We start from the raw sequence: 20,989 nt of genomic DNA, 5'->3' as shown, positions 1-20,989 counted from the left end.
GCGTTCAAACACTGACGTTTCAGAGGCTCTGGTTACTGCTGCATGGCGGATGATCCTCTCTCTCTCCCTCTCTCTCCCTCCCTCTCTCCCTCTCGACCTGCTTGCCTGCCTGCAGAAAACTAATGAATCATGTCTAGCTGAATGCAAGCAGTGCAGACACACCAATGCCCTGCAATGTTGACTGGGCGCCGCCTCTGCCTGCCTCTCGCTCCCTGTCTCTCCCTCTGCTGCTCCCTCCCTCCCTCTCTCCCTCTCCCCCTCCTCCCTCCCTCCTTCTCTCCCTCTCCCCCTCCTCCCTCCCTCCGTCTCGCCCCCAGTTTGTAATCTGACACAGTACACTGCAGTTGTCTCCGAGGTGAACCTCCGGAGCCTTGGCACAGCTCGCTTCTAAAGGTAGGCTGAGATTTATTTTTTTCTCCTAAAAATAGCTTCCCGTCTCCCCTCGCCTTTCTGCACCCGAGCTGCAGCGGCGTTGATCACAGGGGGTTAGCCGGAAACTCTTTGCCCAGACAAAGTTTATCTTGCAGCGGATGGAGAATGCCCTTCAGCGTGGGGTCCGGGGGCGCTGGGTGCGGGGAGCAGCGGCTCGCCCTGCTGGCATGTCGGTGCTGCTTGGAATTCAGGATCGTCTCGGAAGGGAAGGGCTGACGGGCTTCTTCCTGGGTGCCGGGTGTCAGCTGCAGGGGTGCTGTGGCTCTGTCATGGCCCCCACCCCAGGCTTTTAAGAAAGGCCCCTCCAGGCAAAGTTTGGCACCCGATGGACACGGCCCCGCTCGCCTGGGGAGTGCGCCCCAGGCTTCTCAGACAGCAGCGGCTCAGGGCCTGGACTTGTCTTCTTGGGGGCGGGGTGGAGGGGGGGAAGGGGACGTGGGACAAACACATCAGAGTCCCCAGCTCGGCTCAGGTGCAAATGCACAAAGCCCGCAGGCTGCGCCCAGGAATCTGTCAATTCACGTCCCATGGACTGACTTGAATAATGTGTTTGTCAAAACAGATGTTCCCCGGCAGAGTGTGTGCGTGCATGCGTGTGCCTGTGTGAGCAGTGTGCGCGGGCTGCTGGCCGGGGGCAGACTCTCCCAGTGGAAACCGTATTTCACCGGGAAAGGCAGCGCGTACGGGACCACCCGCCCAGGAGCTTAGGTCTGGGTAGGTCCAGGTGGGGGCCCGGACATCTGTCAGCAGAGGCCTCGGTGGAAGCAGCCTCCCTCCTGTCCCCGGGGAGCGCACGCTGGCTGAGGTCGGGGTGGCGGCTGGCCGGAGGGAGGGAGGACTGCTTCACCTCCCGGCCTGGTCACTGGCCCCGGGGGAGGCGGGGGTGCTGGCTCCGTGCCTGCGTGGCCTCTGGGTCCCTGGAGGTTCTTAGGGTGAGTGAGGAGGGAGGGAAGGGGACCCTGTCCAGCCCCATATTTCTCTCACGGAGGAGCCCTGAAGGAGACTCTGCTCACAAGGGTGAAAACCCCACTTCGTCCAGGGAAGGGAAATGTCACAGATGGAGCAGGCCTGAGAGGAGGGAGAGCGGCTCCCTCTGAAAATGGAAGATCGGTGGGAAGAGGAGGTGTCCGGGCTCTGGGCCCTGCGGCAGGCCAGGCTGCTGGGCTCTGAGCAGGAGTGGGCAGGGGAGGGGAGCTGGCGTGCAGGCTCACTCACCCGGTTTCTAAGGGGAACAGTGGGGGAAGGCTCTAAAAAATCACCACCTCCCCCACGCACATGGCCCCTCCCTGGCTCCCTCCCAGCCTTGCTGGGCTGTCCGGGAATCAGCTTCAGACTCATCCCCCGCTGGGCTGTGGGGTCTTGGCTTGTCCTGTGAGACATGATCCCAAGCTCCCAGTGGGATGGGCAGGGTCTGACCGGCTCCGGAGGTTCCCTGGGGGCACGGTGTGAGGGGAAGGCCGGCGGGCACCCCTTCTGCAGTGGGGGGTGGTGGGGCGTGCCTGGGGTCGAGGGCTGTGCCGTGGCCATATGGCAGCCGCCTGGGGCCCAGAGTGGAGCCCTTCCAGGTTATTTCAGGGAAGGCGCTGGCAGCGGCTATTCCCCCGTGCCCCTTCCTAGAGGATGGCAAACTGGGTCAGGGAGAGGGTGGCACTGCCCACGTGCCCGGGAGACAGGAAGATGCTGGCGCTATGGGGGCCGCCCCCCACGCAGGAGGCAGGCGCCACGCAGCCCTCCCCGGGGCATAGCAGCCGGCCTCCCCCATGCTGCAAGCCCGGCAGAGAACCCCAAGCCTGCAGAGTCCGGGGGTGGGCGTGGGTGGTGGAGAAGCCTCCCAGGTGAGGCCAGCGTGCAGCCGGGCTGAGAGCTCCTGGCCATGAAGATGAAAAGACAAGCGGTGGGCCCTACACTGTAGCTTTCAGTTTCATCTCTTTGGCCCCATGCACTGTTGGCGCCTGGAAGAGACCAGCATGTGCTCAGGGGGCGGGAGGAGAGGCAGGAGCTGGCTCTTTCCTGAGCTTGCTTCGCTTTCCATTTCAAATCCACCCCCTGCCACGTTTGTATTTTTGGAGTCTGGTTGAAGTTTTAATTGGAGCAGCGATTCTCACACGTTGGTGAGCGCTGGCATCCTGGCGGGTGGGTTAAGGGGCTACAAATCTCAGAACCTCTGATCCAGCAGGTCTGGGGAGGAGCCGGGAATCCGCATTCCCACGCAGTCCCAGGGGAGGTGGAGGCATCCAGGGACCCCACTTTGAGGATCCTTGAATACAGCGTGACCAGGAGGCGCTTTACGCATCTCTGGGGCATGTTGCCAGCTCTCTGTTGGCCTTTGGCTGAGGTCATACATGAAGCTGAGTGCACGCCTCATAGGTTGGTCTAGACCCGCAAGTGCCAAACCTCAGGGACCAGAGGGCCTGACCCGGGAGCTTCCTTTGTGTCCGGGAGTCTCCCTAGGGCACGGCAATGAGCATCTGTTCCAGGTGGGCGGAGACTTGCCGGCTGAACGTCTCAGTGTTTCCCACTTCTGCCCCAAGGTTTGGAATCCGCGTGGTGCTGGGAACCCGGGGGAGAACCGGATCGGCTGTGCTGGTCTCTTGTTGATCAAGCAGAGCTGCTGATTCCAGAAAACTCTGTTCTCCACTTACCTCATCCCGTGTAGATAGTGGTAGTGCATGGCTTATGTCCTCAGTTTCTCTTTTGACTTTCACCCATTTGAAAAGCTGTCTGATCCCCTATGGTGTGGGAGGAGGCTTGCAACCAGCTGAGGACACCTGCATCTCTTGTTGGTGATGCTGGTGCCACCACCCTTGTGTGCAAAGGGCAACCAGCTGAGGACACCTGCATCTCTTGTTGGTGATGCTGGTGCCACCACCCTTGTGTGCAAAGGTTTCACTGAACCATACTCCTCAGTCCTTCCTTCCTTCCTTCCTTCCTTCCTTCCTTCCTTCCTTCCTTCCTTCCTTCCTTCCTTCCTATCTTCCTTCCTTCCTTCCTTCTTTCCTTCCTTCCTTCTTCTCTCACTCTTTTATTCCGTTTCTTTCAGTCTCTGTCCCCTTCTTCCCTCTCTTTCTCTCCTTTTCTCTCCCTCTTTGTTTTTTCTTTCCTTTTCTCTCAGTCTCCCTCCCTCCCTCATTCCTCCTCTCCCTCTCTCAGTCTCTCTCTCTGACTCACCCCTGCTTGTGTCCACCACTGGGCCACGCTCCTGTGTGGATCCATCTTTCCTTGAAGAAAATCTCCCAGATGACGCCCTGCATAAGAAGGACATTTCCATCAGTGAAGACCATGCGTACTGCGGTGGCTGTGCGATTAGAACAGACCTGAAAGATCCCCATCCCAGTGTGGCTGTCGTAGCTGCTCAGCTTGAAGCTTTAGTCTCACGTGTTTAGTGACGATGGTGTGGGTGAACCCACTGTGCTGCCTGGAGTGTGAACGTCCAGCACATACAGTCATGCATGGACATGATGCTCGATGATAATAAATGACTATGTTACTGGCTTATGGATTTACTGTAACTTTTATCATGATTTTAGAGTGTATTGTTTCTACTTATTAAACAAAAGTGAGCTGTGGAACAGCCTCCGGCAGGTCCTTCAGGAGGGATCCGACAGCAGGCATGGCCATCGTGGGAGGCGACGGCACACCTTGTGTTATTCCCCTGGAGACCTCCCAGCGGGACAGGACGTGCAGGTGGAAGGCGGTGATGTGATGATGCTGGCCCCGGGGAGGCCTAGGTGAACGTGTGTGTTTATGTCTTAGCTTTTAACAGCAAAGTTTAAAAAGCAAACAAACAAAAAAATCAAATAGGGAAAAGCAAATAGATGAGGATATAAAGAAAGAAATTATTTTTGTACAGCTGTACAATGTGTGTTTTAAGCTAAGTATTATTACAAAAGAGTCCAAAAGGTAAAAAATTAAGAAATGTATAAGGCAACGAAGTAAGCTGAGGGCAGTTATGGAAGAAAGAAGAATATTTTTGTATAAATTTAGCGTAGTCTAAACGTGCAGCCTCTGTAGGGTCTACAGACACGTACAGGAATGCCTGGGCCCTCACGTCCACTCCTCACTCACTCACTCACCCACCCAGAGTCACTTCCAGTCCCGCAAGCTCCATTCATGCTAAGCGCCCTATACAGGTGCACCATGCTTTATCTTTTAGATCTTACTTCCGCTGCCTCTCTTCTATGATTAGATGCAGAAGTACTCACCATTGTGTGGCAGTGGCCTACAGTACTCAGTACAGTCACGGGCTGCACAGCTGTGAAACCGGAAGCAATGGGCTTGCCCATCGAGCCAGGGCGTGGAGGAGGCTGTGCGGCCCGGGCGTGTGTGCAGTGTACCTGTGTGTGAGGTGCGCTCAGTGACGAAATCACCTAATGAGGCATTTCTCCGAACGCATCCTTGTTAAGCAAGGCGTGACTGCATTTATCTTTGAACAAGCCAGTCACACTGTACTAGGGTTTGTGGGGTTAGAAGTATTCATTTATGAGGTGGGTCCCTGAAAAGTAACATTTAATCTAAATCTATTTTAACTTTTTTGTGGTTATTTTCATATGTGTGAGAAGCAAATGCATCTGTAATGAGAAACCTTCACACAATATAAACTTTAAGTCCAAATGACGTCCTAAGTAAATCACTCCAAATAGCATCTTCAAAAAATGGAGAAAAAAGACAAAGCACACTCATTTTAAAAGCCCAGAATAATCTTGATACAAAACCCCAGTGAGGCCATCAGAAGGAAGAACATGTGCTGGCCAAACTCTCATGGTCACAGACACCACATTCTAAGTCAAGTATTAGTAAATTAGAAAATGGAATCCAGCAAAACGTGAAAAGGGTAATAGACATTTCTTAATTTTTCCCTGGACAAGGAACCTCAGAAAATGGAGGAAATTGGGGCTTCTCTGGATTTGTGAGAGGCTGGATAGCTTCTTTTTTTTTCTTTTGAGACAGAGTCTTGCTCTGTCACCCAGGCTGGAATGCAGTGTCATGATCTCAGCTCACTGCAGCCTCCGCCTCCTGGGCTCAAGCGATTCTCCTGCCTCAGCCTCCTGAGTAGCTAGGATTACAGGCGTGGGCTACCACGCCCGGCTAAGTTTTGTATTTTTAATAGAGATGGGATTACGCCATGTTGACCAGGCTGGTCTTGAACTCCTGACCTCAGGCGATTTGCCCACCTTGGCCTCCCAAAATGCTAGGATTACAGGCATGAGCCACTGTGCCTGGTCAGATAGCCTCTTCTTAATGCTCACCTACACGAGAAAGGGAGGTGGCTGTCAGGGCTCCATGGGACCCCACGTGTGACGTGCGGGGCCTGTGAGGATTGGGAGCAGTGGGGCTTGTGGAGGAGCAGGTAGAGCAGGGAGAGGCCTGAAGACGTCCATTTGGGATATTCTCATTTGTTGGTGTTTTGTGGTCTGTCATTAGTAGGTGCTGGATAAGCACTTGCTGGAGAGACCCAGTGTGGGAGATGAGGGGGGCTCTCTCCTTGGCCTAGCTGTGTGGACAGGTCCTTCCTGTTGGTGCTGAGCCTGGGGCGGGGGAGGTGCAGCACCTGCCACTTCTCTATCTGTGTGGGACCCAGGAAGGCAGGGCATGACCTATTCATTCAGCAAACCTTTAAGCACCTGCTAAATACTGACTCACATTTTAGGTGAGCAGTGAACAAGCTAGAGGAGGGTGCTGCCCTCATGGGGAGCACACATGTGTGTGTGTACGTGTGTGTGTGTATGTGTGTGTGTGCGCCTGCGTGTATGTGTGTGTGTGCATGTGTAAGACAACGGGCAAGTGAATGAATAATCACTACACCAGAGACAGCTGCCCTGATGGAGTGCCCAGCAGAGGGTTCCAATGGCTGATGTCAGGGGCCGCACCTGGATGATCTGGGAGGGTCTCAGGGAGGAGGTGGCGTTGAAGCTGAGACAGGACCCTGAGAAGGAGCCAGAGGTGCAGACACCTGGGAGAGAGGTTCAGGCCCCGAGGGCAGAGGGAGGAATGGATCTGCGAGCTGCTCGGTGGCTTTGATTCTCATAGGTATGTGCAGAAATTGCTCCTTGGGTGTTTTTGGAGCAGCTGGGACCACAGGGGCTGCAGAGCCAACCCCTCTCCTGGAGACCCTCGGTGTCCACCCGTGAGCTCCCAGGGATACCCGGAAACCAGGGGGCCAGTGGTGTACTTTTTGTCATTTCCATCCATGGGGAGTTGGTCATGGTGTCCCTTTGGGTGGAAGGTCCTCCTTGCCCCTCCTATGCCTCTTACCGCGCTCCTTCCCCTGCCTCCCTCCTGCCCAGTGCTACCAAAAAGAAAGCCCATTTGGCCATTTTGGCAGCAGGGGCCTCCTGAGGGGGCCTGGGGGTGCGTTGGTACAGGTTCCTCTGATTAAACGCTCCTGGTGCCACACCCAGTGTGTGTCCGCGATGGGAATGTCAGGAACGGGCCGCTGGGTTGGGTGGGAAGGGGGGGGGTTTCCTCAAGGCATTCTTCATGCTTATTACCGACGTGGTTTCCAAGAGCAGGAACACACCCCATCACGCTGCCCCTGTACCTCCTTGGACGGAGATATTGGGACGGGGGCAACAGGCAGCTTTGTTTCCGACTCTTCCTTCCCTCTCCCTGAGAGGGGAGCCCCAAAATCTTGGGAAACGTGCCTTGACTCAGCTCCAGGTCTGTAAAGCGCTCCATGTTCAAGGGCCAAGGGCTCGAGCTGCGTGTTGACTCCTTAGCCTGGAGCTGCCCCGCAGGCTGCGGGTGCCAGAGCTCTGCTGTCGGGCGTCACGCCCAGAGACCTGCCCCAGCCCCAGCTGTGGTGTGGGTTCTGCGTCTTCAGCCTGTGGCTGAGTCCCCAGTGCCCAGCGAGTGGCTGAGACCTGGCTGGGGCTCAATAATTGTCTCTGTGGGAAGGGTGGATGCAGCGAATGGCAGTTGGGGCCCCGGGAGGGCCATGCCTCTGTCCAGACAGTTCCCCAGCTTCCTTCCTGCTTGTCCCCAAGCCCACCAGCCCTGGTGACTGCCTCCTGCATCGTGGCTTCTGGATCGTGAGAATTAAAGATGGGAAGTTGTGTAAACAGCTTTTCCAGCTCAAATGCAGCAATGCATCGGACTGCTGTTGCCGGCACGTTGCTGGGTGCCTTCCTCGGTTACATGCATGACACAGCCCTTCTGCGGCAGGCCCTGTTGCTCATGTAGACCCATTTTACAGATGAGACAATAGTCTTTGAGAGATGGAGGGGCTCTCTGAAGATCACACAGCTGGGGAGAGATGGGCCCAGTTTCAAACCCGGGCTGCCTGACCGCGAAGCTGGGTTGGGACTACAGCGCTGCAGGACCTGTGAGATCCCAGAGAAGCTGGGGCGGAGCCGGTTCTGGGTCAGATGCAGTCCCAGGGAGCTCTGAAACACGCCTGTGTCCAGGGCCCACGCGAGCCTCTTAGAGAAGGTGCAGTGAGCTGGGGCGCAGGTATAACAGTATTTTCAAAGCAGCTTTATTTCACTAATTTGTTTTTTTGAGACAGGGTCTCACTGTGTCGCCCAGGCTGGAGTGCAGTGGCATAATCCCGGTTCACTGCAGCCTCGACCTACAGGCTGAGGTGATCCTCCCACCTCAGCATCCTTTGTATCTGGGACTGCAGGCGCGTGTCACCATGCCTGGCTAATTTTTTATATTTTGTAGAGACAGGGTCTTGCTATGTTGCCCAGGCTGGTCTCAAACTCCTGGACTCAAGCGATCCTCCTGCCTCAGCCTCCTGAAGTGCTGAGATTATAGGCACGAGCCACCATGCCCAGCTTTAAGACTGCTTTACTGAGATATAACTTACCTACCATCCAATTCATCCATCTAAAGTACAAGTCAGGGGTTGTCAGTATATTCAGAGTTGTGCAACCATCACTGTCATCAATGTTAGAACATTTTCATCACCTCAAAAAGAAATTGCCATTAAGCAACCAGTCTCCTCTCTCCTCTCCTCCCAGCCCTGGCAACTGCGAATCTGCTGTCTCTATAGATGTCCCGCCGTGGACATCTTACGTGAACAGAATCATACTACACATGGTCCTCTGTGGCCGGCTTCTTTCCCTCAGCACAGCATCCTCAAGGTTCACCCGTGTTGTGGTGTGTGTCAGAGCGTCATCTCTTTTTATGGCTGAATAATATTCCACTGTGTGGCTGGACCACATGTTTACCCACAGGCATCAGTACTTTCTAAAAGGCCTGAGATTATTGCAAATATAGTCATGTGTAATGCGTATAGTCTCTCTCTCTCTCCCTCTCTCTCAATCCCCCCATTTCTTGGCTAAGCATTTGCTTTGCCAAACATGTCCTCTTCCCAGCCTCTATCTAGCTGTTGCCTACATGTGATCCACTAATATCCGCCACTTTCCCTTCACATCCTGATTCTGAGCTCTTCTTGCTCGGGCCGCCTCGGTCCCCTTGGCCAGAGACCCCTGGTCTTGTCCCTGGGCCACACTGCCTCAGCGCCCCCAGGCCTCCTGTGTCCACCTCTGCCTGCAAGTCACTCTCACACAGCAGCCAGAGGGCTCCTGTTGGAAACGGCTCAGTCCACGCCCACTCTTGGAAGCTTCTGATTGCATTTATTCTCACTTAGAGCAAGCGCAAGGGCCTCCTGATGGCCACAGGCCTGCCAGCTCTTCCTCCTTCATGTCTTTGTCTGGAAGGCTCTTCTCCCAGCTACTCACTCATCATGTTGTTCAGGGCTCTGCTCAAAGGTCACCGCCTCTGAGAAGCCTTCCCTGACTGCCTGCCATGACAGCAGCCATCTGGACCTCCTGTCCTATCACCTGTTCTGTTTCTTGATGTGCCTCCCTCCCTCCCCATGGGAGGACTCCTGGGCGTGGGGGGGACCTTGTTCCCTGCTCCTCCCAGTTGCCTCCCTTCAGGTGGGCACCGTTCCATTCTGTGAGGGCACGAATCCTCTGCGTACCTATGCCAGCATCTGCAGCTGGATACGACTGGCAGTTGGAAGTTCTGAGTGTGTCTGCGTCTTTCCGGGTTGTTCTGTGACCCCACCGCTCTTCCTGCTCTCAGGCCTGGGTGTCCCCTGGGCCACTGTCCTGTGTATACCCCGGCCTGCTTCAGCTCTCACGCCCGGGCCCTGCTCAAGAACAGGAAAGAGAATCTTGTCGCTTGAGGACACGTTCAGTTACTTGATGTTTTCTTGGTCATTTCAGGATTTCACATTGTTAATTTAGGATTTTTCTCTCTTCCATGGGGTAGGGCTGGGAAGGTGGGTCTCTCAGCAGAGGCACAAGCTAGACCTGGCGGAGCTTGTGGGAAATGCCCATTCTCCATCAATCTGCAGAATGAGCCTGCGGCATTTGGGACCACTGGCGGCTGCCGAATCACTGCATGATAATTTTGGTGATAAGTCTGTTTGGAGAGCAATAGCATGAGCCATGAAAACAAGAGCCGGCCTCATTGAATCCTCACCGTACCCCAGGCCTGTTCTGCACTCTTCCCACCAGCTAGCTCATTTAACTGTCAAAAGGCACCAACACCCAGAAAGGTTAAGTCACTTGCCCAAATCCTTATGGCTCCTGAGTGGAGCAGCCAAGATTCACTGGGCACTTTCGCCAGAGCGCCTGCCCCTGGCCACTACGCCATGCTGCCATGGGGAGCGCGGACCTGCCTGTGCCCCACAGCATCTGTGCGGGGAGCTGCTCCGTGAACGTGTCCCTCGGAAGCAGCCTTCACTGGTGGAATTAGCCACAGTCACAGGGCAGAGTCTGGAGCCAGGCTGGCAGGCCCCGATCTCTGCTCTGCTACTTCCGGCTGTGTGACCACAGGCTCTCTTCTGAACCTCTCTGCGCTTTCGTTGTCTTATCCATAAAATGCAGGTAACAATAGCATCCGTCTTCTCCTCGACGGATTGTTATTGAAGGCATTCACTGGGGAAAAGTGCTTAGTATCTTGCAACACTCAATAAAGATTAGCAATTGCCTTTATTTCCATTCAGATGGGGACGGCAGAAGGGGTGCTTTGATGATTAAATGACTTCAATGGCACAGAGCATTTAGAACAGGGCCTGGAATAGTGTGAGGGTTCAACAAACATTAGCTATTACGATTCCTGCTATTATTATTAAACTCCAAACAGACCAATCATTAGCATGTGAATGGAATTAGTAGAATAATACAGATAGTCCCAGAAACGGGTCCTCTGAAGCTTGTGCAGCCCAGATTTCTTGTAGATGCTTCCGCAGTGTATTTATTTTTCCTTTCTCATGAGCAGAGCTGTCTAAAGTGTGTGCGAAGTGAGCCGGTCACGGTAGGAGGGAGACACTTTTGCACGAAGTAACCATCAGCATTTTTGTGACCTTGCAGGGATGGGTAGGCTGGGAAGAGAACGGCTTCTGCCTCCGTTGGTCCCAGCCACACCTGGCCACCCCATTGGTGGGCGTTTGCCTTGGGGCACTGGGCCTGCCCTGTCTGTGTTGGGACGTTTTTGCAGGCTGGGCGCCTGTGGCCCTGCAGCAGTTCACTCCTGCCATACCCAGTGTGCTCCAGCGTCACAGAAGGAGAGAAAGAGCAGGAAAGCGGTGTGCAGCAGGAGAGGCGTGAGAACCGCAGAGAAACACAGCAAACGCCTGTGCTGAGTTGTTCGTTAGTGAGGAGCTGGTCAGGAAGAGCGTTTTACAGGGAACCACGTGGGCTCCTGTGTGGGCCTGGGACAGCTGCGTCCCTTCCCTGCCAGCCTCTCCCCCAGGAGGCTTCTGTGGCCCACAGTCACGGACATGACAAATGGGGAAACTGAACCTCCTTTTCCCCAGAGGTGAAAGATGCGTTAGGAAGCACAGGGCGGTGGTGCGGCAGCCAGGGCCCCGGTCTTTGTTGCGTGGTGACTGGCCGGGAGGCTCCGGGCGGCTTCATGAGCCTGTCTAGTCTTGGTCTCTGCTTTTCACCAGTGGGAATATTAACATCTCATTGGTTCTCCTGGGCTTCGGGTGTGCAGGCATCTTCTTCCTAACTCATGCATCCTCCAGTGTCATTGATTTGTGAAAAACTCAGTTTCAGGCACATCCGTGTGACTCTGAAGGCGGAACCAGAGCAATGTGGCCACGGAGAGGAGCCCCCAGAGGCAGCCGGTGCTGGCAGAGGCAGGGATCCTCACGCAGCTTTGGAGGGAGCTGGTCTTGCCACCCCGGCTTCTGGGCTTCTGGCCTCTAGATCTATGAGAGAAGAGATGTGTGTTGTTTTGAGCCTCCCAGTTTTTTGTCATTTGTCATGGCAGCCCAGGAAACGAGCACAGGAGGGTATCACTGTCCCCACCATCGTGGAGACAGGGACTTGGACGCACAGACAGGTGAAGCAGCTAGCCCAAGATCACATAGCTAGAGAGCAGCGATGCCAGGACCTGAACCGGTGACCCTGGTGGTGGAGCCCCGGAGCCTCGGCCCGTCTTGCAGGTGCTCTCTGGCTGGCAGTCTACGCTTTGGGAAACAGACCTGTGGAGGCGGTGGTGGCAGGGCGAGGGGTTATGAGTCCACGGAGGGAACACCTTTGGAAAGTGGGTTAGAAAATGCGGAGTGCCATCTAATTAATTTGAGATTTAAAAACTTCCCTTTAGAAGCCATTTACTTTTGTTTATTATTATTATTATTATTGAGATGGAGTCTGGCTCTGTTGCCCAGGCTGGAGTGCAGTGGCATGATCTTGGCTCACTGCAACCTCTGCCTCCCGGGTTCAAGTGATTCTCCTGCCTCAGCCTCCAAAGTAGCTGGGATTACAGGTGCCCGCCACCATGCCTGGCTAATTTTTGTATTTTTAGTGGAGACAGGGTTTCGCCAATTTGGCCAGTTGGTCTCAAACTCCTGACCTCAGGTGATCCACCTGCTTTGGCCTCCCAAAGTGCTGGGATTACAGGCATGAACCACCACCCCTGGCTTTTTGTTTATTTTTTAAACAAGACGTCAGGAGCCCAGCCCTAATGAGAGCTGCTTTGGGACGCGGGTTGAGTTGCCAGGGCCCACAGAGCACCCTCCCTCTGCCTCCTCGGTCCTCGTCCCTCCTCCTGCACTTCCTCTGTCCTCCCTGCCTGTGTTCTGGTGCCTGGAGGGAAGTCGACCTGGCCATGGGGTGCTTCCCCAGCTGCTTTCCAGATGAAACTGAGGTTTTAAAATGCTGCTTCATCTGGAAGGATGGGGCTCCGATTTATAGCTTTCTTGGTACAGAAAGGGAGATATTTAAGGGAGACTTTGCTGATGTCCCTAAAGTAGCAGGAAGGTGGTGTGTTCCCCTCACCGGTGAGCACAGCTGGGGCACTGCCTCCCAGGGTGGTCGGGCCCCAGACCTCTGCGCTGCGTTCAGGCTCAGGCTCAGGGTTCCCTCCGTGCTTCTAGATCGATCTCTCTCTCTCTCTCTGTATTTCCTAAGCTGTTCAATTGTGGGTGCTGTTTTCCTTTCTTCTCCCCTAGGAAACACCGTTTCAAACGCACTCCCAATATACTACACATGACAACTGAATCTTATTTAAGACGTGGAGAAGCCACCCGACCCCAGGGGAGGCTGAGCGGTGGGTGATGTAGAGCGCTAATCAGGGTTAGGCGGTGGCCCCTAGTCACGTGAGGGCTAAAGCGCCCGGATCCGATTACGGGATCTGATGGAGCCCATGCCAGGGCCCGGCCCTCAGACTGCGGCTCAGCCCTGAGCTGAGCACCGGGTGGTCGCAGCAGTGGGTGAGGGATTGGGGAGGGCAGGCGGGTGGCCGAGGGAGTGCCCGTGCCACGCTTTTAAAAAACAGTGATCGTTTGAGAATACAGCACTCTTCCCACCACAGTTCTAACACAAGGTCATTTTCAAACACTGATGTTAGATGGTGATTTTCTTATTAGTGAATTAGGGATTCTTGGGCAGGCTTCATAATAAGTGCAGGAAACTGAAAATGTCCAGGGCGGAGGGGGAGCCCGCCTGGAGGTTAATCGGGGTGCACAAGGCCAACACCAGGCGTCATCTGTCAACCAGGAGGGTGACTCTCCTGGTTAATTGGCTGCCCCCATGCTAGGAGGCCGGACCACTTTGGCAACTGCAATTATCTCCAACTGCCAGGCAAAGAATCCCACCCCTGGCCTGCTGCAGTGACCTGGTGACCTGGAGGCATTACAGGAAAATCCTGTTCTAATGAACTTCTCCGGGCATCTGAGTAGCAGCAGCATTTTTCTGAAATGAATAAATTGCTGGAAATCACAGTCTCATTGTCTCAGCCCAGGAGGAAAGAAGTAGATGCTCTCAACCCCTGTTGAGGCAGGTCCCGGCTGAGCACCCGGGATGGTTGATTTCATGGAATTTCCATACAGCCCTATGATTAATTCCAGTTTTATGGATGAGAAAAGAGCGGCCCCAAGAAATTAAGCAACTTGTCCAAAGGTGCACAATTTGTAACTGGGTTTGGGGAAGGGGCCCAAGATTCCGATCAGGATCATCTGATTCCAGGGCCTCTGTCCTCACCGCCCGGCCATGGTTCTTACTAAAAGAAATTAATACTAACAAAACAGGAAGGGCTTGCACACAGCCTGTCTTGCTCTCACACACACCATTCCTATTTTCTTCTCCTTCATCTTACATGTGGTTCCTTCCTTCCTTCCTCCCTCCCTTCTTCCTTCCTTCCTTCCTTCCTTCCTTCCTTCCTTCCTTCTTTCTTGTTTTTTATTTTTTTATTTTTTTTTTGAGACAGAGTCTTGCTCTGTTGCCCAGGCTGGAGTGCAGTGGCATGATCTCAGCTCACTGCAACCTCTGCCTCCAGGGTTCAAGTGATTCTTCTGCTTCAGCCTCCCAAGTAGCTGGGATTACGGGCATGTGCCAACACACTCAGTTAATTTTGTATTTTTAGTAAAGATGGGGTTTCTCCATATTGATCGGGCTGGTCTCGAACTCCCGACCTCAGGTGATCCACCCACCTGGGCCTCCCAAAGTGCTGGGATTACAGGCATGAGCCACTGTGCCCGGTCCCACATGTGGTTATTTCATTGCTCTTGGTGGTGGAGGCAATTTGGAAATTTACCCAAAATCATTGCTAAGGGTTCAGCTAGAGAGAAGCTTAGATTTTCCTCCCCCACTGTAATGCAAACAGCTGGGACCCTTGTTGTTTAGTTAGGAAGAGTATGTGTCTTGTGGGCTGGGCTCATCCTCGTACTGGATTATTGACTGAAATTGGCTGGCCACAGGGAGCAACATCCACATGGGGGCCTCTTTCGTGCCGCATTATGTTTTGGTGGGCCTTGTGCCTGCAGTCCCTTCCCTAGAGCATCTGTTCCTTCTAGAACATACGTGTGTGGGCTGCATGTACCTCCAGCGGGGTGAAGGAAGCATTATGGGAAGGGGTGGGCCATGGCAACCCTGATCCCGGCTCCTTGGTTTTAAGGCAGGTTGTCAGGTATAACTTGTTTTGCCCACTGAGTTGAAGGATGCGTTATTTAAAGACGTGCTATTATTTGGCCCAAAGATCTTGAAGAAAAACAATGAATTTTGCAGCTTCCCACACTGTCAAGCAGGAGCGATTTGTGTCCCATGGCTTTGAGGGGGCTCAAGTCAGCATCAGGTGCTACAGTCGGTCTCACAGTCTCACGCCTTCCTTGCTCAGACACCTTCCCCTACAACGTGCCCAGCAAGGTACTTTTCACCCCATGTTCAGACGCGGGCCTGACTGTGAAGGTTTCCTGTGCCCGGCTCCCCTGGGCTGCTCTCCGCCCCTGAGTGTGATATGGGACCTACTGGCTGTCGGCATTCTTTGGAACCCTTGTGTCTTCAGGGGTTGTAAACTCCAATACAAGCAGTTCCACGTGTGATGTAAGCTGAGTGTAAGGCAGAAAGTGCCACGTAGCTTTTATGTCTTCCAACCACAACACCTGCTGGTTCTGTATTTATAGAACACTCCAAGGCCTTCCCAGGCAGCTTGGCAAAGCTGTCCACCCCGCTGTGTTAGGGGGGCTTACAGCGTGAGGGCCCCGGCTCAGCTCCCACCTGCTGGGGGGCTCTGCTGCTTCCCTTCTTACCCCGTGGGCATGGCTCAGAGTGGCTCCCTGTCTACAGCTGAACCCAGTGGCCTCCAACTGCAATGACATCCTGCCCATCCTTCGAAATCACACGGAAACCTTGTATTTGTGTTTTAGCCCTTCTCAGTGTTTACCTGTGTTCTAGAGACCTGTGCACTCTTCTTGTCTGTCCTAGAAAACTACTTGCTAAAAGGCAGGGCCATGTTACATGTGGCACACACACCATGCTCAGTACAGGAAGTGCTTGTACACAGTGGTGCTTACAAAGAGTACACAGTGGGTGCTCACAAAGTGTGCACTGTGGGCATTCACAAAGTGTATGCAGTGGGCGCTCACAAGGTGTGCACAGGAGGTGCTCACAAGGTGCTTGTTGTGTGATGGAACGTTTGGAATTTGTTGGGTGGTTGGATCAGTTTCCTGCAGCTGTCATAATAACTTAGAATGAACTAGGGGGCTTAAAACAACAGAAATCTCTTCCCTCCCAGTTCTGAACGCGAAAGTCTGAGATCCAGGCGCTGGCAGGGCTGTGCTCCAGGGTGGGATCTTTCCTGCCTCTTCCAGTTTCCAGTGGCTCCAGGTGTTCCTTGGCTGTGGCCAGCCCCCTGCCCCCACCTCTGCCTCTGTCTCCACATGGCCTTCTCCTGCGGCTCTATGTGGCCTTCTCCATCTCCAGAAGGACATTCTCGTTGGATTGAGGGCCCCTGACCCAGCATGATCCCATCTGAATTCCTACCTTAAGAATTGCATCTTCAAAAACCCTACTTCCAAGTGAGGTCCCATTCTGAGGTCTCGAGTGAACGTGATTCTCGGGGGACATTCCTCAGTCCACTGCCGTGGTTGACCGTCTTGCAGACCCTTGCGGGGTGTGGCTGGTGTCTTAGAGATTCCTCAACTCCAGGCATCTTTCCGGGGAATGGGTGAAGGGAGAAAAGGACCTTGGCTGTTGCGGGCCTGGGGCTGTGTGGGTCTTTGTAGAAATGGCCTGCCAATTAGAGATTGAGAGAAAATAAACTAAAAACCACACCAACTGGAAGACCATCAAATGTTTTCTGGCTAGTAAGAGTTCAGGAAGCATTTTCCTCAGTTGGGTGGCTGGGGAGGGAACATGGCTGCCCCTTAGGGGTAGCAGATGGGCATCTGTGGGCTGAGAGCCACCCACACACGCTTTCTATTTGGCCTACGTAGAATTAGGGAAAAAATGGTTAAAATTGGTTGCTAGCATTTTAAAAATTGGGATATTTTAATATAAAACCTGTATTTCTTTTTTTTTTTTTTTTTTTTTTTTTAAGACAGAGTCTCACACCATCACCCAGGCTGGAGTGCAGAGGCATGATCTCGGCTCACTGCAACTTCTGCCTCCCAGTTCAAGTGATTCTCCTGCCTCAGCCTCCCGAGTAGCTGGGATTACAGGCACCTGCCACCATGGCTGACTAATTTTTGTATTTTTTAAAATTTTATTATTATTATACTTTAAGTTTTAGGGTACATGTGCACAATGTGCAGGTTTGTTACATATGTATACATGTGTCGTGTTGGTGTGCTGCACCCATTAACTCGTCATTTAGCATTAGGTATATCTCCTAACGCTATCCCTCCCCCCTCCCCCCACCCCACAACAGTCCCCGGTGTGTGATGTTCCCCTTCCTGTGTCCATGTGTTCTCATTGTTCAGTTCCCACCTATGAGTGAGAACATGCGGCGTTTGGTTTTTTGTCCTTGCAATAGTTTGCTGAGAATGATGGTTTCCAGTTTCATCCATGTCCCTACAAAGGACATGAACTCATCATTTTTTATGGCTGCATAGTATTCCATGGTATATACGTGCCACATTTTCTTAATCCAGTCTATTGTTGTTGGACATTTGGGTTGGTTCCAAGTCTTTGCTATTGTGAATAGTGCCGCAATAGACATACGTGTGCATGTGTCTTTATAGCAGCATGATTTATAATCCTTTGGGTATATAACCAGTAATGGGATGGATGGGTCAAATGGTATTTCTAGTTCTAGATCCCTGAGGAATTGCCACACTGACTTCCACAATGGTTGAACTAGTTTACAATCCCACCAACAGTGTAAAAGTGTTCCTATTTCTCCACATCCTCTCCAGCACCTATTTCCTGACTTTTTAATGATCACCATTCTAACTGGTGTGAGATGGTATCTCATTGTGGTTTTGATTTGCATTTCTCTGATGGCCAGTGATGATGAGCATTTTTTCATGTGTTTTTTGGCTGCATAAATGTCTTCTTTTGAGAAGTGTCTGTTCATGTCCTTCACCCACTTTTTGATGGGGTTGTTTGTTTTTTTCTTGTAAATTTGTTTGAGTTCTTTGTAGATTCTGGATATTAGCCCTTTGTCAGATGAGTAGGTTGCAAAAATTTTCTCCCATTCTATAGGTTGCCTGTTCACTCTGATGGTAGTTTCTTTTGCTGTGCAGAAGCTCTTTAGTTTAATTAGATCCCATTTGTCAATTTTGGCTTTTGTTGCCATTGCTTTTGGTGTTTTAGACATGAAGTCCTTGCCCATGCCTATGTCCTGAATGGTATTGCCTAGGTTTTCTTCTAGGATTTTTATGGTTTTAGGAATTTTTGTATTTTTAGTAGAGATGGTGTTTCACCATATTGGCCAGGCTGGTCTTGAACTGCTGACCTCAAGAGATCCACCCACCTCAGCCTCCCAAAGTGCTGGGATTACAGGTGTGAGCCACTGCGTCCAGTCTAAAACTTGTATTTCTAGCATCTTTTGTAAACTGCACACACTGGAATTTTGTGGGGCTGAGTCATGCTTGTCCCTTCCTGACAGGTCATGTGAAGGAGCAGGAGGAGAGGCAGAGACCAGGACATTAGGAGCGGTAGCAGGGACGGACGGCCTTCTGAAGTGAGCAAGTTAAGGACAGTGTTTGAGTCAGATGGAGGCGGGTTCTGTGGCTGTAACGAGACCCAAAGGAAGGGGCTTCACTAAGTCACGGTTGCACCCCCTCTGGCTCTGTGGCCCACGCCTTCTCCCTTGAAAGTCTTTATCTCTGGGGTCTGTTACTCTGCTGCCTCCTGGTTCCCCTCCCACCTTCCCTGTCCTTCTCTGTCTCCTTCATGGCCCCTCCTATGAAGAAGGGCCTCACAGCACAGCTCTCAACTTTCTCCTCTTCTCCAGGCTGTCCCTCTCCACGCCCGTGACCGCAAGTTAGCTGTTGAAGACGGCTCAAATCCCTGCCCCAAATGTCCCCCTAAATATTAAACATGGTTCCAGCTGCTTCCTAGACAACTTTTCTTGATTCTTGCATTTCCTGCAAGTTCAGTGCATCCCAAATGGAGCTCACTGTCTCTTCACCAACACTCGCCCTTCTTTCCACTTTTATTTTTGTTTTTTTAAAGAGATGGGGTCTTGCTTTGTGGCCCAGGCTGGAGTGCAGCAGTGCAATCATAGCTCATTGCTGCCTTGACTTCCTGGACTCAGGCGATCCTCCAGCCTCAGCCTCTGGAGTAGCTGGGACCACAGGTGGGCACCACTGTGCCTGGCTAATTTCCCTTCTGTGTTCTTGATGAAGGTTGATGGCACCACATCCAATTTAGGAAGGACAAGGACAATTGCAGAATATTCCTCCCTGAACTTCTATCTCCAATCAGTTGCCAAGGCCTGCCAATTCTACCACAATTATTATGATTTTTTTAAAGAGGCCAGGTCTCCCTCTGCACCCAGGCTGGAGAACAGTGGTGCAATCATAGCCCACTGCAGCCTTGAACTCCTGGGCTCAAGCAATCCTCTCGCCTCAGCCTCCCGAGTAGCTGGGACCACAGGCGTCCACCACCATACCCGGCTATTTTGTAGAGATATTTTGTAGAGAGGGGTCTTGCTATGTTACTCAGGCTGGTCCTGAGCTCCTGGCCTCAACCAGTTCTCCCGCCTTCACCTCCCAGAGCACTGGGATTACAGGCATGAGCCTCTGCACCTGGCCACATTAATACTTCTTGGGTCTGGAATTCTCTATTATTTCTGTGGTCTTAGTTCAGGATGGCTTTCGTCCGGTATTGTGTCTCCTGAGGTACCTCCAGTCTGGCAGTCTTCATTCATTCCATCCTGTGTGTTCATTATAAATATGAACCTGATCCCATCATCTTGTTTGACACCCTTCGGAGGCACTTATTCATTGTCTGCAAAATAAAATCCCCTGTTTTCAGCCTGGCAGGCGAGGCACTTCCCAATCTGACTCCTGCCCACCTTACAGCCCCCGTTCACCTCTCCCTTTAGCCACGTGAGATGATTTGTAGCTTTCAAAACATGCTCGGCTGCTTCCTGCCTCTGTGCTTTTGCAGAAGCTGTTGCCACTGCCCTGAATGCTGCCTTTTCTCTGACCAGATACAGTGCTTCCCAAACTGAGACTCCAAAGAGAGGTTTAAGCGGCTTCTCAAACATTGCTGAACAACATGGCATTACAGAATAGCACACTTATTTCCTTTTAATTCCCCTTACTCCTTCTGATTAAATCAAGGAGAAAGTCTCAGTTTGGTGTTAGTTGGACTTGATATTTCTAATTCTTGCTAATCACCTTTGTTAAACCTCATTTGTTAAATGATCAATGTTCACAGTGATCGCTTTGTGAACCTCTGGCTCAAAATGCTGAGTCAGCTCAGCTATCTAGCTAGAAATTCATATCCTTCTGCTTTTTAAAACAACCTATATTAATTGTTACTTTACATTTAAGGCTGATGATGTTGGCTTTCATTTTGTGGTGGTGATCTATAAATTTAAACCTTACTCAGGTTTAATGTCAGTAATTTAAAGAAAATTATTAGATCAAACTTGAGGGATGCAGATGACACATTTGAAGGTAGCCTCTGAATGACTGATGTATAGAAAAACCAGATCACCACACACATCCCCCAGACTCCCATCAGCGGCCTCTTCCTTTCAGGAGCTGGGTCTGTCTCTGCCCTCCCCAGGCAGCTGCATTGTGCAGGCGTCTTCTGCACTCCCAGTAAGGTTTTGCGTGTACCCATGTTAAAGCCCTTATCATGTGCCTGTCCTTGTGGACACGTCAGCCTGCTGGCTGGGACGTGAGCATGGAGGGCAGGGTTGTGTCCATGCATCGTTGGTACCTTCTGCAGCTCCTGGAATTTAGTAGGTGATCAGTTGCCCATGTAGCATCTCCCCTTGGTGACCCAATGCACATCTGAAATGCATCTGTCCAAAATCATATACTTGCAATTTCTTACTCCCATAAATGTACTCCTCCTCCAGGGGTCTTCATTTTTGTAAATGGCAACGTATTTCATCTAGTTGCTGCAGTATAAAGCCTTGGGATCAACCATGACTCCTCTTCAAGCCCATATCCAAACCATAGCACATCTGGACGTCTCTAAACTTTCAACATACCTAACCTCTTCTTCCCACCTCCCCTGCTAGCTCCTTAGTCCAGACCAGCCTGCCCTTCACCTAGACAGCCATCCTAGCCTCTGCCTCGTCCCCTGGCCTCTAGTCTTATTGATCAATGGTCGGTTGCCACTCAGAAACAGGGGTTGATCTTTTTGAAACAAACTAGGTCACCTCACTCTGTTGCTTAAAACCTTCC

The 20,989-nt window shown here is 52.3% G+C and overlaps 1 protein-coding gene across 19 annotated transcripts in view, besides 1 other annotated feature; it reads left to right on the top strand.

The window, feature by feature from the left end:
• The first annotated feature begins 315 nt into the window (after nt 1-315).
• RIMBP2 (RIMS binding protein 2) overlaps nt 316-20,989 on the top strand; it is a 320,167-nt gene continuing 299,493 nt past the window's right edge. For 16 of the 19 annotated variants that reach the window (NM_001351227.2, NM_001393621.1, XM_047428628.1 and 13 more), the window contains exon 1: nt 316-393. The gene's annotated coding sequence lies outside the window, so the exon portion shown is untranslated. Of the gene's footprint in view, nt 394-1,041; nt 1,147-20,989 lie in introns of those variants that run through there. The other 3 variants (NM_001393622.1, NM_001393619.1, NM_001393623.1) reach the window with 1 other exon arrangement.
• Nucleotides 12,073-12,817: an enhancer, noted in NCBI's record as "H3K4me1 hESC enhancer chr12:131188343-131189087 (GRCh37/hg19 assembly coordinates)". NCBI's record gives its function as "activates a minimal SCP1, AML or CMV promoter by ChIP-STARR-seq in primed H9 embryonic stem cells {active_cell/tissue: H9 hESC(primed)}" and the evidence as "EXISTENCE:reporter gene assay evidence [ECO:0000049][PMID:30033119]".

This window comes from Homo sapiens, chromosome 12, assembly GCF_000001405.40.
Source record: "Homo sapiens chromosome 12, GRCh38.p14 Primary Assembly".
Lineage (NCBI taxonomy): Eukaryota > Metazoa > Chordata > Mammalia > Primates > Hominidae > Homo > Homo sapiens.
The sequence above is the reverse complement of the archived record's forward strand: the minus strand, read 5'-3'. Positions and strand labels throughout refer to the sequence as shown.